This window comes from Homo sapiens, chromosome 10 (genome assembly GCF_000001405.40).
Source record: "Homo sapiens chromosome 10, GRCh38.p14 Primary Assembly".
NCBI classification, from domain to species: Eukaryota; Metazoa; Chordata; class Mammalia; order Primates; family Hominidae; genus Homo; species Homo sapiens.
This window is the reverse complement of record NC_000010.11, coordinates 7212742-7228000: the sequence shown is the minus strand read 5'-3', so window position 1 is coordinate 7228000 and position 15259 is coordinate 7212742. Positions and strand designations below refer to the sequence as shown.

The 15259-nt window shown below is 42.5% G+C and overlaps 1 protein-coding gene across 12 annotated transcripts in view; it reads left to right on the top strand.

The window, feature by feature from the left end:
• Positions 1-15259, top strand: part of SFMBT2 (Scm like with four mbt domains 2) — a 252867-nt gene that overhangs the window by 183490 nt on the left and 54118 nt on the right. For all 12 annotated transcript variants that reach the window (NM_001029880.3, NM_001387890.1, NM_001387889.1 and 9 more), the window contains 2 exons: positions 64-146; positions 7464-7590. In NM_001029880.3, coding sequence (NP_001025051.1) covers positions 64-146; positions 7464-7590 — 210 coding nt within the window. The remainder of the gene's footprint in view (positions 1-63; positions 147-7463; positions 7591-15259) is intronic.

Here is a 15259-nt window from a genome sequence, read left to right as displayed (position 1 = left end):
TTGCTCATCTGTCTGGGATTTTGCTTAATGTGCGCTGTTTTATCTGTGTTTTGTCATTCCCAGGTTACTCTGGCCAGGACTTCGACTGGGCAGATTATCACAAGCAGCATGGGGCGCAGGAAGCCCCTCCCTTCTGCTTCCGAAATGTAAGAAGCTTCTCTCTTACCTAATTTTTAAAAATCATAGATTTTGTCTACCGTAAGTTTTATAACTTGCTTTTTATTGATGAAGCACGGTTGGAGTATTACAGTGCACTGGAGAACTACAAAATGTCTGTAGTTTTTGGAAAGCTCTGCTTTCAGGTTGTATATTTGCTAGGGTGATGCTGGTCTGTGCTAACAAATTGACTAATAAATGCACAGTGGCTGGAACATGCTAAAAGGTGATGGCCAGGTCTCACTTATGGAAGAGCCCAGGGTCTTCCTGATTAGTAGGTGGTTCTCATTATGGTGAGTAACCTAGCCAGCAGAAGGGAAAGAAATAGAGGAGAAGGTATCACTAGTTCTAAATACTGCAGCCTGATAGCAGTGTATGTTATTGCTGTTTACTTTCTACTGGTGGGAGCTCTTTGCCTGGCTGCACCATGTCACAGGTGAGGCCAGTAAGTGGGTCCTGCCTGGACTTGCTGCCCAGCTGTGATTCTGAACTCTGGAGTGAAGAGGACACGTTTTGGTGGACGGCTGGCCATCTGTTCCCCTGTTAGAGGAACACTTGCTGTGTAGCATCTTATCCACGAACCCACTGATAGGAGAGTCTTTGCTCTTGAGGCCTAGTCTTAAAATGCTGTCTTACCTATTTTGATGGCTTTAATACTTTCTTTGATGTCCAGTTAGATGCTAGTGACTTCTGTGCTTTGCTTACTTTAAGCTACTACCTGCTTCATATAGAGCTAATTGGAACATAATAATAGGATTTTTGTGACACATAAAGTGGCAATGAGTGTGTGTGTGTGTGCACATGCGTGTACTTACAGAGTTATTGGAGGTCGTTTTATAAACTACAGTCATGCATTGCTTAATGATGGGGTTATGTTCTGAGAAATGCATCATCAGGCCGCTTCATTGTTGTGTGAATGTCATAGAGCGTACCTTGTACCTACACAGGCCTAGATGGTATAGCCTATACTACATACAGCTCTGAGATTCATCCATGGCCTGGATGGTATAGCTTATACCACATAGCCTAGGTTATGTGGTATAACCATATAATCATATGGGACCACCATTGTATACGCATTTCATCATTGACTGAAACGTCACTATGCAGTACATGACTGTAGTTTACAAAATTATCAATAATTCTTCAATCCTAGGAACTGTGAGTAGAGATATCAATTATCTCTGTTTTAAGAATTAGGCTTAAATGTATAGTCTACTGTGTTCAACATGCTTTTAGTTAGGAAAGTTAATTTATGTTAAGACAAAAAGATTATAGCCTCCTCTTACTTGAGATCTGTAACAACAGTGCAAAGCACTCGCTGGTCAGAGACTTGTTTGCTGAGCATGTCTTCCTGGAGCTTGCGGTTTCGTTGCTGCCACACTGTCATTGCACTCTAGACATAACAATATGAAAAACGAAGCGAGAAAGGGGTGGCTGCATAGGCAGAAGTTCAAAAGTGAGTGCAAGTCAAAATCAGAGTTTGGAGGATTCAGTAGGTTGATGACTGGGTCAGCTGGTACTTGTAAATACAGAAGCACATCAGCAGCAAGGTTGGAAATCAAGGATCCTTCTATGATTGAACGACCTTGAGAAGTAGCTCAAATCTCAGTCGAGTTCTCTCCTTATCTAGGCTGCTTGGAGCCTGCCTGGCACCTGCATGATCCGGGGAGCAGTCAAAAATCTAGGCAGAATTTACACATAGAATTTGTGGTTCCCAGTCCGGGCTCTCCGCAGGATTGCCACCGAATGATGTCGCCTTTGCACAAGAGCGGTTTCTCTGTATCTTGAAGAACCGAGTGGTGTGTGTTTAGGTGACAGGGCCAGCTGCATAGCCATGCCCCCATGAGGACTGCAGCTGGTTAACTCTGAAAGCTTTGATGTCCTGTGCTGTCTTGACTTCTCACCGTATTGATGTCACAGTCACAGAATCTGCTGGCTTGTCTGCTTTCATTGAGGGCCGTGGAAACATCTTATAGCACCCTAAAACCCTTTTGAGATTGTGTTTTGTACCTGACAAGGTACAAAGAGAAATATTCCTTCCCCGAATCATTAACTTTTGGAAGAAAATCCTTCTCTCTCTCTTTCATTCTATATTTAAAGAGTGATTTCTTCTATGGCAGTATAGTCCTTGCCCCACTAAAGCTTCTTTTTATCAGTCCTCTGTTCCCATTCGCAGCCAGGAATTGTCCACATGGCTTTGAATGGTAGAGTAAATCACCACATTCCCAGGTGGCTTCTGAGCTTTCAGGATTTGTCCACCAAGATGCTCTCTGTTTGGATGAATCTGCGGGCATGTTCAGGAGGAATGTCTTTGTTTCTGGCACTCCGTTTATGTAATAGATAGGATTGTTGACGTATGCATCGCATTGGTGATGCTTTGCTGAATTTGTTAGCTTGCTATAAGTGCTCTTTAACGGAATGCGTATTACGAGTTCATTTTTTAATCACACATCTCCTGTGTATTAGAGGAGAGCTAGTGTGGAATTGGATGCATGGAAGACATTTCCCCAGGGATGTTTAACAGAGGCTGTTATGAAAGGAATCGACACAGTAAAATGCTTGGTAAATAAACTCACAGGTAACAGTTTTGCTATTGATCCTTTATAAATTACCCTCAAGCGGTGGATTGAAATGAAAATAGGTTATGTGGTTGTAGCTTTCCCTTGTTAAGAAGGATAAATGCATTTTAACTTACTTAGAGGTTTTTCAAGCGGCCGATGGGATTGTATTTTCAGAAGGAAGCTCAATACATAATAGCTGTGCGTGAGGCTGGGTAACTTGCAGAAACAAATAGCCCACCTAGAAGATCTTTGCTTCCTATTTCCAAAGAAATGTAAAGGCATGGAGCCAGTTGATTTCTTAACATGCATTGGATCACTTTTTTCAGGTTACATAAAGATATAGTTATATTTTTCAAATTAAGTTTTAGAAAAAGACATGTAAATGTGAATTACCTTGATTTCTTTCCACAAGTCAGAAAAAGAAGTAGTCTCTGTTACTTACAGGAACCTGTTTATCTTGGTATCCATAAGTATATAAATCTATAGTATTATAACATGTCTGATGATAATTTATAGTAGTTGGCAATTTGGGAAAATTTTATATTTATTTTAAAATAATGTTTTCAGTATTGGCTGAGTAAGCTCATACTGAATTGACCCTTCTGCCTGTAGAGCAGCTCTAAAGTCTGGACACAGGACCAAAAACGACTATTTGAAGGTAGTGGAACGTGAGCAAAAGGAGGCAGGAGAACAGGAGACTGGACGAAGGGAATAGCATGGGAGAATTGTCCCATTTTTTTCAGACTTTTAGCTTGAGGGCAGCCACAGTTGACGACATGTGGGAGAGTGATATAAAATTCATGGTCTCTCTGGCCTGATGAACCATATTACAAAATTTGGGCAACCACAGATCCTGGAAAGTGAGGGGAGACTCAGACAGTGGAGAGCCAGGATCGGGAACCCCAGATTCCATGTGTAAATTCTGTCTATGTTTTTATGGTGATTCCTGAATCATGTAGGTGCCAGGAAGACTCCAAGCAGCCTAGGAGAGGTGAACTCAATTGAGATTTGAGCTGCTTCTCAAGAGGCAGAGTCTGTAGTTTCAGTCCAACCAAGGTGATAGCTTGATAAAATAGAAAAGTTGACACTTTTGGTAGGAATATAACGTAATCCAGAGTCGCCACAACATAACATTTAAAATATCCATTCTTTAATTCCCACATTGCTCAAGACAAATGGGAAAATCAGCCTCATTCCCAATAGAAAAGAAGAAATGGGAAAATCGCCTCATTATCAATAGAAAAGATAATCAACATAGACTAAACCAAGCATAGACTAAACCCATCATGACCCAGGTGTTGGAATGAGCAGACAAGTATTTTCAAGCCCCTATTGTAACTAAGTGTGATGTAAAGCAGTGGTCCTTTAAAGGGTGGTCGTGAGACCAGCAGCCTCGGTATCACCTGGGCACTTTTCAGAAATACACATTCTCTGGCTCCACCTACAATCAACTGAATCAAAACGTTGGGGAGAAGCCCAGAAGTTTATATTTTTAAAAGATTTTCAAGGGGATTCTGATCCTAAAGTTTAAGAACTGTAGATATAAAGGAAAATATTCTCATAATGAATGAAAAGATAGGAAGTCCCAGAGAAGAAGTAGAAACTATAAAAAAGAGAAATTCTAGAACTCAAAAATACAATATTTGAAATCAACAAATTTATTGGATTAGCTTAATCGGAACGAGAGAGGAAAGAGTCCATGACCTTGAAAATAGAAATTATTTTGTCTGAAAAACAGAAGATGGGCAGGGAAATGAAGGACAAATGGAATCTCAGGATCTGAGGGACAATTATTATGTAGAATTGAAGACCCAAAAGAGGTGGCTGAATAAGAATTAAAAAAGACATTTCATCAAAGAAGATGTATGGATCACAAAAAAACATGCTCAGCATCAGTAGTCAGCAGGGCAAATGCAAGCTAACACCACCGTGAGACACCACTAGATACCTATTACAATGGCTGGATTTTGAAAAACTGGCAATACCAGGTGCTGATGAAGATGTGTAGCAACTAAAACTCTCACACACTGCTCATGGGAATGCAAAATGCTGTAGCAACTTTGGCAAACATTTTGGCAGCTTCTTAGAAGGTTAAATATTCATTTACCATATGGTCTAGCGGTCCCATCTCTAAAAACAGGCAAACTTAATGGTATGGGTTGAATTGTGCCTCCCTCAAATTCATATGTTCAAATCCTAACCCCCAATACCTCAGCATGTGAGTGTCTTTGGAGATACGGTCTTTAAAGAAGTAATTAAGATAAAATGAGGTCCTATGGATGGACCCTCATCCAGTGTGACTGGCGTCCTTATAAGAAAAGAGGGGGCCAGGCTCAGTGGCTCACACCTGTAATCCCAGCACTTAGGGAGGCCAAGATGTCAGGAGTTCGAGATCAGCCTGGCCAACATGGTGAAACCCCAACTCTACTAAAAATATAAAAAAATTAGCTGGGCATGGTGGGGCATTCCTATAGTCCCAGCTACTCAGGATGCTGAGGCAGGAGAATCGCTTGAACCCAGGAGGCAGAGGTTGCAGTGAGCTGAGATCATGCCACTATACTCAAGCCTGGGTGACAGAATGAGACCCTGTCTCAAAAAAAAAAAAAGAAGATGGGGATTGAACCCCAGCAGATCTTAATGGCTTAGCTAGTTTCCCCACCTGTAAAAATCAGGACACTCTTACTGCTGTTTGTGTTAGGTAATTAACAGCCGTAAAGCATGCTGAAAGTAGAAACTGCTAAATACACACAGAGGCCTGACCACATGAGGACACAGGGAGAAGACAACATCCACAAGTCAAGGAGAGAGACCTCCAAAGAAGCCACCCCTGCTGACACCCTGATCTCTGACTTCCAGCCTCCAGGACCATGACAAAATAAATTTTTGTTGCTTAAACTTCACAGTCTGTCGTATTTTGCCACAGCAGCCTGAGCAGATTAATATACTTACGTTTACATGAAAAGTTGTACCAGAATGTTTAATGTTTATGGCAGCTTTAATCACAATCACTGAAAATGACTCAAATGTCCTTTAACTGGTAAGTGGATAGATAAGCTCTGGTGCATCTGTACAAACTACTCAGCAAGAAAGCAGCACAAACTTCCATTTCATGTAATAGCATGGATGAATCTCAGTGTATTATACTAAGTGAAAGAAGCCAGACTCGAAAGGCTACAGATATTGAGTCCATTTACATGACTTACAGAATAAAATGGGGATTCTGATCCTAAAGTTTAAGAACTATAGTTATACAGGAAAATTTTCTCATAATGAGAATATAAAGAAAGATAAAGGAAATTATAAGAACAGAAAACAGATTGGTGGTTGCCAGGAACTGAGTGCTTTGGAGGGACTAATTACCAAAGGTCCCCAATGCAAGGGTATTTTGGGGGTGAAGGGATGGTTCTGTGTGTTGATTGTGGTTGTAGCTGCATAATGAAATTCACTGGTCTCACAGCCCTACCCTCGGAGAACAGTATACCCAAAAGACTGAATTTTACTCTATGTAAAAATGTTTAAAGTGATCTTAAAAAGATAGCAATAAACAATAGCAATAAACAAAATTAGCAATAAACAAAAAGAACAAAGGAAAATAATAGCAATAAACAAAAAGAACAAGGGAAAATAAAGATAGTTTCAAATAAAACCACAAGAATTCATCATCAAAAAGAACTACACTATTATGAAAAAATCTTTTTTTTTTTTTTCCTCATTTGAGACAGAGTCTCACTCTGTCGCCCAGGCTGGAGTGCAGTGGCGAGATCTCAGCTCACTGCAACCTCTGCCTCCCAGGTTCCAGTGAGTCTCTTGCCTCAGCCTCCCGAGTAGCCGGGATTACGGGCATGTGCCACCATGCTCAGCTAATTTTTGTATTTTAGTAGAGTTGGAGTTTCATCATGTTAGCCAGGCTGGTCTTGAACTCCTGACCTCAAGTGATCCACCTGCCTCAGCCTCCTAAAGTGCTGGGATTACAGGCATGAGCCACCACACCCGACCTTTTACTACGAAAAATTCTAAAGGATATTTTTCCCATTTCCTGTAAAGGAAAATGATGCCGGATGGAAATTCCGTGTTCCCACTTGAACTGTTATCAATGGGTATAGGAAGGTGGAGGAAATGGTGTGTACTTCAGTGATCCCATAGAAGGAAGGGTGCAGCCGGGCACGGTGGCTCACACCTGTAATCCCAGCACTTTGGGAGGCTGAGGCAGGTGGATCACAAGGCCAGGAGATCGAGACCATCCTGGCTAACATGGTGAAACCCTGTCTCTACTAAAAATACAAAAAATTAGCCAGGCATGATGGCAGGTGCCTGTAGTCCCAGCTACTCAGGAGGCTGAGTTAGGAGAATGGCGTGAACCCGGGAGGCGGAACTGGCAGTGAGCCGAGATCACGCCACTGCACTCCAGTCTGGGCATCAGAGCCAGACTCTGTCTCAAAAACAAAAAAAAAAAAGAAGGAAGGGTGCATATGGAACTGGAAAGAGAATGAATTCATACTCTCACTCGTTTAACAAATAGTATTAGGCACCTACTATGTGCTAGGCATAGTTCTAATTTCTGGGAAACAAAAATGAAGACCACCTGGTTCTTTCTTCATGAACAGTGGGAAGGACAAACACATACGTGAGCCTGTCTTGTCGATGTAAGATGCGTGTGCGTGCATTTCTTTCTCTTTCTTCATCTGCCCAGCTTTGTCCTGCTGCGTCAGCACTGGCTCAGTGTTGGTCTCGTTTCTCTTGCAGACATCATTCAGTCGAGGTTTCACAAAGAACATGAAACTTGAAGCTGTGAACCCCAGGAATCCAGGAGAACTGTGTGTGGCCTCCGTTGTGAGTGTGAAGGGGCGGCTAATGTGGCTTCACCTGGAAGGTACGTACTCGCTGGGGGTAGCAGTCGCTGGGGGGAATGTAGAGTTTGTCGAAATGGCAACGTGTGGAGGAAAGCAGCCCTTCTCAGAAGGGGCCTTACTTCTCTTTCATTTAAACAGATCTTAAATTATTCCGTGTTCTTAAATCAGTGAAACTAATCAAACATAAATGTAGTCAGAGGCTCTCATCTTAACTAATAATTTCATGCAATGAGATGCTGGCAAGATAATTATGTTTGGAACACAGTGGTCTTTTTACATCTATGATTAGAAAAGCAAATGTCACAATTAAATTAATGTGAGTCACTAAAACTGAGATTCCAGGTCTCGGTTATTATCAGGACAAAATTGTACATTTGTATTTTAATGTGGTTATATCCTTTACTTTGATTTCTTTCGTAGTTGTTTAATTCTTCCTCAAAATAGTACCTGGAGGATGACTTTCTCCCCAAATGTCTAATAAACAGAATTTAGGCTTGTTTGTTCAGTGATGTTGAAACTATCCTTTATAGCTATAGCGTATTTACAGGTGCAAGAAAATTCACAGAATGCTGTATTTTGTGAACAGAATCCTGATCATACTTTATATTTAAGTAGAAAACCATATTTTCTAGGTGGTGGGTTTTCAGTGATAAATAATTACAATGGATTTGATCTCCAAGACTTTCCCATCTTTCTGTGATTTATAATTCTTTGGTTTTTTTTCCTAGGATTTCATAATACTCAGTAGTTATTTCAAGTATATATGCAAAAATGAATAGATATGAATAGTAAAATAAAGTTAGCTCTCCTAGTTCATAGTTTAAATCTTATGACTTACTCAATACCATGATTGGAATAAAGAGTTTAGAAGGAAAATCATAGAATTGGTGCTCAGATCTCCATTTTTATTTCCTCACTATGCATCTATAAAATGTCTGCAAAGGTCTTAAATAAGCCTACAATCTCATACATATGTAGTCCAGGGGATTGGGAAATGTGGAAAACAGTCATTGTGGCTGACATCATTGTGTTGCCAATTCCCAGAAAATTGTTTAAAACGTTACTGAAGTTTAGGGTTCCAAAATCAATGTGAAATAAATGGAAATTCCCAAAAAGTTGATTGCTTAGTAGGTTTTCAAGTAGAATGGCCTCTTTCTGGAATTCACGAAAGTGTAGACACAGGCAACGTGGCAACATTTCTGTAGCTTACAGGAATAGAACATGGCTTTATTTTCACAGCTCCACCTAGAGTTGGGTGAACTGCTCTTGGAGAAGCAAGATTCCTTCTGTATTTTGTAATGACTAAATTTAACTTGCTATCTAACACTATGCTGAGCCATCTTAACAAGATTGGACTCTTGTTTGCATTATTAATTTGAAAACAAAAATGGTCAAGTTAAAAGCCCATGTTTTATCCTTATTACTTAGTGCGTTATGGTTAAAATTCTTTTGCAGTCATTATTTATTTAGCAGTTTCTACTTTCAGCATGCTTTATGACTGTTAATTACCTAACAGAAACAGCAGTAAGAGTGTCCTGATTTTTATAGGTGGAGAAACTAGCTAAGCTATTAAGATCTGCCTGGGGTTCAATTCCATTGCTCTTGACATTTTCTCTGTTGCTTAATTCCCCAGACCCTACGGCTTCCCACGTCTTAAAAAAGAGTGATGAACAACATTTAGTGTATATTTAACATTTTGGGCAGTATTTTCTTCTTTGTCCTGTTCTCTTTGAATACAGATTTTTGATTTTCTAGCAAAGAAATAGAAGTCAGCTCATGTCCGATCTTTTTCTTATTCCCCAGAGTGTTTTCATTGGGTAGTGATGAAAATTAGTTAGTGTTAGGAAACAGATCAGAAAATATACATTGACCATTTTTCCAGACCTGATTCGTTGTTCTAAAAAGTGTTTGTAAACAGTCTGTTGAGTCTTATCTGTTGAATAGTATATTACCTGTAATTATTGCTCAAAATCATGCATCTTTTTCATTACTTACAAAAGATACTGCATACAAATAAAGTAAAATTCCAGTCAGTTTCCTGGGTCTTGCTTGAATTTTGGTTTTGGTTTTGATTTTGGCCCTTACTGAGCACTGACCTTTCAGAGTGACAGCTTAATGGCACTTAGCTCTCATTATTTCAGTTTTATCTATCTAGTGTTTCCTTTCCTCCATGTTGGGAATAAAATGATAGAGTTTCATCATGGTCACTTTGTGGCTGCTAAATTTTTTTATCTAATGATGATTATTCCGATTATAGGCCATTTATTTGACACTTTAAATTTATAAAGTACTTTGTAACAATTTTATTAGTTATTTTCGTGCATTAAATTGATTTGAAGTGTTTTCAACACTAGACTGACCACTTTTAGGTAATTAAAATAATTCTTTCTAGTTAATATCTGACTTCTCTTGAAGTTGATTCATTCTTTACGTGTCTCTAAAGGGGCTGTTGTTGAAGAGGGAGCAATGAATAAACTACATGAGATTAATGTAATATCATTTTAAGTGCATATTTGAAAAGAATTTTAAGCTCTCAGAAACCACTGGTAGTTAGCAAGGGTGACTGATGATGATGGGGCCAGTGTTCCGGAAAGGAGGCAGTGCCTTCTCCTAGGTCAGTGTTCTGCTGCAGGTCATCATGTCTGTAACTGTGAATATTGTTCATATAATACAAGTTACTTTCAGTCTTAGGTCTCTAGCATTATGGCCGCACACACTGGCTCCCACACTCACAGCTCTGCCTTTCCACAAACCAAGTGACTTTCTATTCATTTCCAGTCCTTTTTTTATGGGACAAATACATTGGTCCAGCAGTTCGGTATGCTCTCCTAGCTCTTTAGCCCAGAAGAAGGTTCGCCTGCTTGCATTGTCTTCCTTAGCATCTTTTTTTGGAGTCTTGTTTCTCAGAATCATTTTTCCTGGACACCTGGCTAAATATATACATGCGCGCCACTTACATGCACTTCAAATGAGACCTGGTAGATTTCTAGCTCACGTTTAGCAGTTAATGCAAGAGATTGACAAGAACTTTTGGGTGGTTTCATTGAGATATTTTATTGAAAAAATTTTTCATTTTTAAGAATGGTTTTAAAATATATGTAACATCAAATTTACCACTTTAGTCATTTTAAATTATACAGTTCAGTGGCCTAAAGTTTATTTACACAGTTATATACCCATCACCACCATCCATCTCCAGAACATTTTTCGTCTTGCAAAACTGAAACTCTCTCCCCGTTAAAGTCTCCCTTCCCTCCTCAGCCCCTGACTGGCACCATTCTCCTTCCCGTCTCTATGAAGTTGATGACTTCAAGTACCTCACATGAGTCAAATCATGCTGGATTTGTCTGAAAATGGCCTTTTACAAGATTTATTATCAATCATAAATAATGCTTTATGTTTATCTACTTTCATCATAATTTACCATATTGTCTTTTTGGTCCTCATAGACCTGGCCACCTATTGGCAAGAATATTAAATTGTAGGTGGCTTGTTGTTAATGGAGGACTGAAGAGTTAGTTGATAGAGGGGCTGGTCCTGATTCCTCGGCTTCCTTGGAAGTGTCCCCAGGGACACATTAAAAGGACTAGGGACACAGAGGAGGAAGAACAGGTTTGGAAGGAGACAGATTTGAATAGCAACAGTTGCATTTTAAGATACGGATGGGGATTCCAGGTGAGGAGGCATAGGGAGTGGCGGGAATTTTGACACTGAGGCCCTCATCAGAGGCTACAGGATATGTGGGGACGGTGACCACAAACTTTGCTTAAACGAGGAGACTTTTAGAAGCAAACGGGGCACTAGCCAGATGGGGCACTGGCAAGGAGGGGACAGCAAGATAGCTCGGTAGTCACTTGAGCCACTGTATTAGTCCACTTTCATGCTGCTGATGAAGACATACTCAAGACTGATGAGAAAAATAGGTTTAATGGACTCACAGTTCCACATGGCTGGATAGGCCTCACAATCATGGCGGAAGCTGAAAATCACGTCTTACATGGCGGCGGCAGGAGAGAATGAGGCCAAGCAAAAAGGGAAACCCCTTCTAAAACCATCAGATCTTGTGAGACTTGTTCACTACCATGAGATCAGTATGGGGGAGCTGCCCCCCATGATTCAGTTATCTCCCACCAGGCCCCTCCCACAACACATGGGAATTTGGGGAGCTACAATTCAAGATGAGATTTGGGTGGGGACACAGCCAAACCATATCAGTCACCATGATCTGCGGTCTGCGATGGGAGCGGGGTCGGCTGCAGTCACAGCAGTTTGGAGCCAGGCAGTGCCAGGTGTGAACGCAGGCTCCTGGTGGCCCTGTGGCCTTGAGCACGTTGCTTAAGCCCTGGTTTCCCCATTTCTAAAATGGCAATCATGGTGTTACTTATAGCAGGGGCTTGGTTTGCATTAAAGCAGTTAGCAGAGTTTCCAGGAAGAATTTTCCGAGAGAGAATGAAGAGGAAATTCTCAGGAGCCAGAGAGGGACTCTGTGATGAACCTGGTTCCTTGAGAATGTGCTCAAGTCTTAGGCACTGAGCTGCTCCTGGTGGCTGGGATGAACAGACAATCCCATGGGGGTCTATACCGCCTAGCGAGTTTGTCTACTGTGTTCGATGCACGGGGAGCCATCCCTAGTAGACCCTCAAGCCAAACACAGCAGGGAAGGAGGAGGGAAGCAGGTCAGGCCCTGATGTCTATGAAGTTGAGTCAGTGGGCTTAAATTCATCGGCCAGCCGCCCTCTGGCACCTGCAGCGGACTCTCCTCCCTGCAGGGTTCTGTGCTGCCTCTGCGGGGCCCTGCCTCCATGGATGTGAGCCATGCAGGTGAACCCAGGTTCTGATTGCCTAGGGAGGGATTCCAGTGCTTGGTTGAGCAGAGCAGTGCCCTGGAGCCCCCATGTACAGTGTTGGATAAAACAACCCCTGCCTCAGGAGATGATTGCAACATTAATTAATCTATGGAGATCCCCTAAAACAGGTTCAAGACCATAGGAAACATTTGGAAGATGTTCTGTATATTTTTGTTTTGTTTTGAGACAGGGTCTTGCTCTTGTCACCCAGACTGGAGTGTGGTGGTGTGATCACGGCTCACTGCAGCCTCAGACTCCTCAAATAATCCTTCCACCTCAGCCTCCTGAGTAGCTGGAACTTCAGGCACGTGCCACCACACCTGGCTAATTTCTTTTGTATTTTTAGTAGAGATGCGGGTCCCACTATGTTGCCCAGGGTGGTCTCAAACTCCTGGGCTCAAGTGATCTGCCCACCTTGGCCTCCCAAAATGCCGGGATTACAGGTGTGAACCACCACGCCCAGCCTGTTTTCTCTGTTTTTGTCCTCATCATGATTCATACACTTTTCCTCCTATTTAGAAGGAATGTGATCAGCTCTCTCTTCCCCAGTGCTGAGTATTTTAGCCTTTTAGTTGAGGCAGAAATGCCTTTCATGTCACAAGAGTTAGGAAGACAAGCAGACTTCCTTACTTCTGAGTTATTTAGCTCTTTCAGTTGTTACCACTGCAGAAATTGTTGAAGAGAGCTTTAGAGTGCGAATAACAAAACCCAGTTTTGAACTGGGGAGCCCTGTTATAAATTAAAACAGGCATGGAATCTGCAGTTAGTGTTTTTGTGCTTTGAATGGGTGGGAAAAATAAATAATGACAAAACACACCCTACAGGTATCAAGCTAGGAATCTGTGCTGTGCACAGCTTTGGACAGTAAGTTTTTGGAGTTCAGGAATTGCCTCCTTGTACCACGAACTTCACATTCCACACTGACAAGCACAGCACTTACGTGCAAGGCAGGTCCGCTACGTGTGTAGTTTCTGATTTCTGCAAGTGTGTTTGAGGAGCAGTATGGGGATCCCATAAGTCCGTAGAATTTCCTCATAGGTATTTAAACACAAGAAGCAGTGATAGCTCAGGAATAAATCTAATCTGTCCTTTGCCCATCTTAAGAAATGCGTCACTCTGCAATTGTCCGGTGGCATCTTCCCATTTATCTGACTGGTTGGTGGAGGTGGGTTAGTTCTCTGAACTCATGCTGTTATGCTGGCCTTTCCTTCTCCACTTGCTTCATTTGTACCCAGCATCCAAGACAGGAACGCAACACAGCAACCCACAGGGGAAGTTCCCCAACCTGGCAGGGCCACTGTCCTCTCTTCACCTGCTGCAGTGGCCTGTGTTCTTAAGAGTGGTGGCCGGAAGATGCTGGACGTTTTCTTAACCTCTTGTTAAGAAGGATCGCATATATTCTCCATCTCCTGCTTTGGTTGGTTGTTTCTTGCTTTTTACTCGTGATGTTTTCTTTTTAGTACGTTTCTCTACCACCCTTGGTGACTTCTGTCTCTGGATGTTCCCACTCCTTTCCTGGTTGCTCCTCTGTCTCCTCCATCTTCTGCACAGTCCTGGGGTGGCAGGGCTGGCTCACTTCCCACCGTTGGCTCCTCCCCAGATGACTTTTCTTGGCCTCTTCTTTGCCCTGCTTTTCTCAGATGTAGAGGTTAGAATCCCCCAGTCCTGCTCTTCAGCCATCTGTGCCCAGCGTGGCCTCGTCTTTCTCTGTGGCTTTGGACGGTCACGCTGTGCACACGGATCTGAGTGCCCATGCCCATGGCATCACACACGGATCTGAGTGCCCGCACCATGGCCTCGCACACGGATCTGAGTGCCCGCGCCCATGGCCTCGCACACGGATCTGAGTGCCCGCGCCCATGGCCTCGCACACGGATCTGAGTGCCCACACCCATGGCCTCACACTCACAACTCCCTTTCCATCCCCTGCAAAACATCTCCACGTGGCAGCAGCATTTCCAGAACAGAACTCACCAGCAGAACCGTCAGAACCCGTCTCTGCTCTTCTCCGTGAACGTCCTGGCTGACGAATGATGCCGTTATTCACCCAAGTCGGAAGCCACGGCATCCTCAAAGTTAGAAACTCTACAATAATTCCTGCCCTCCCACCACCACCCCCACAACCCATGAGTCACTTCAGTCCGGACCTCCGCCTGTCCTCTTCTGGCCCCCACATTGCACTCAGGCCCTCCTCCCTGGCTCTGTGATTTCAGCCGCCTCCTACCTGCTGTCTCTGCCCTCTTCATGGGGCTTTGAGGTTATTTCTGTAAAATACAGGCATTGCCTTCCTCCTAATACACAGTAGGTCTGTGTTTCTTTTTTTTCTTAATTTTTTTTATTTTACTTTAAGTTCTGGGATACGTGTGCAGAACGTGCAGGTTTGTTACATAGGTATACATGTGCCATGGTGGTTTGCTGCACCCATCAACCCGTCATCTAGGTTTGAAGCCCCGCATGTATTAGGTATTTGTCCTAATGCTCTCCCTCCCCTTACCCCCACCCCTTGACAGGCCCCAGTGTGTGATGCTCCCCTCCCTGTGTCCATATGTTCTCATTGTTCAGCTTCCACTTATGAGTGAGAACGTACAGTGTTTGGTTTTCTGTTCCTGTGTTAGTTTGCTGAGGATGATGGTTTCCAGCTTCATCCATGTCCCTGCAAAGGACATGAACTCATTCTTTTTTGTGGCTGCATAGTATTCCATGGTGTATGTGTGCCACAGTTTCTTTATCCCGTCTATCATTGATGGGCATTTAGCTTGGTTGCAAGTCTTTGCTATCGAGTAGAGACTAAATTCCATAACATGACACTCAGCAACCCATCCTCTGTAGGCACATATGCTTC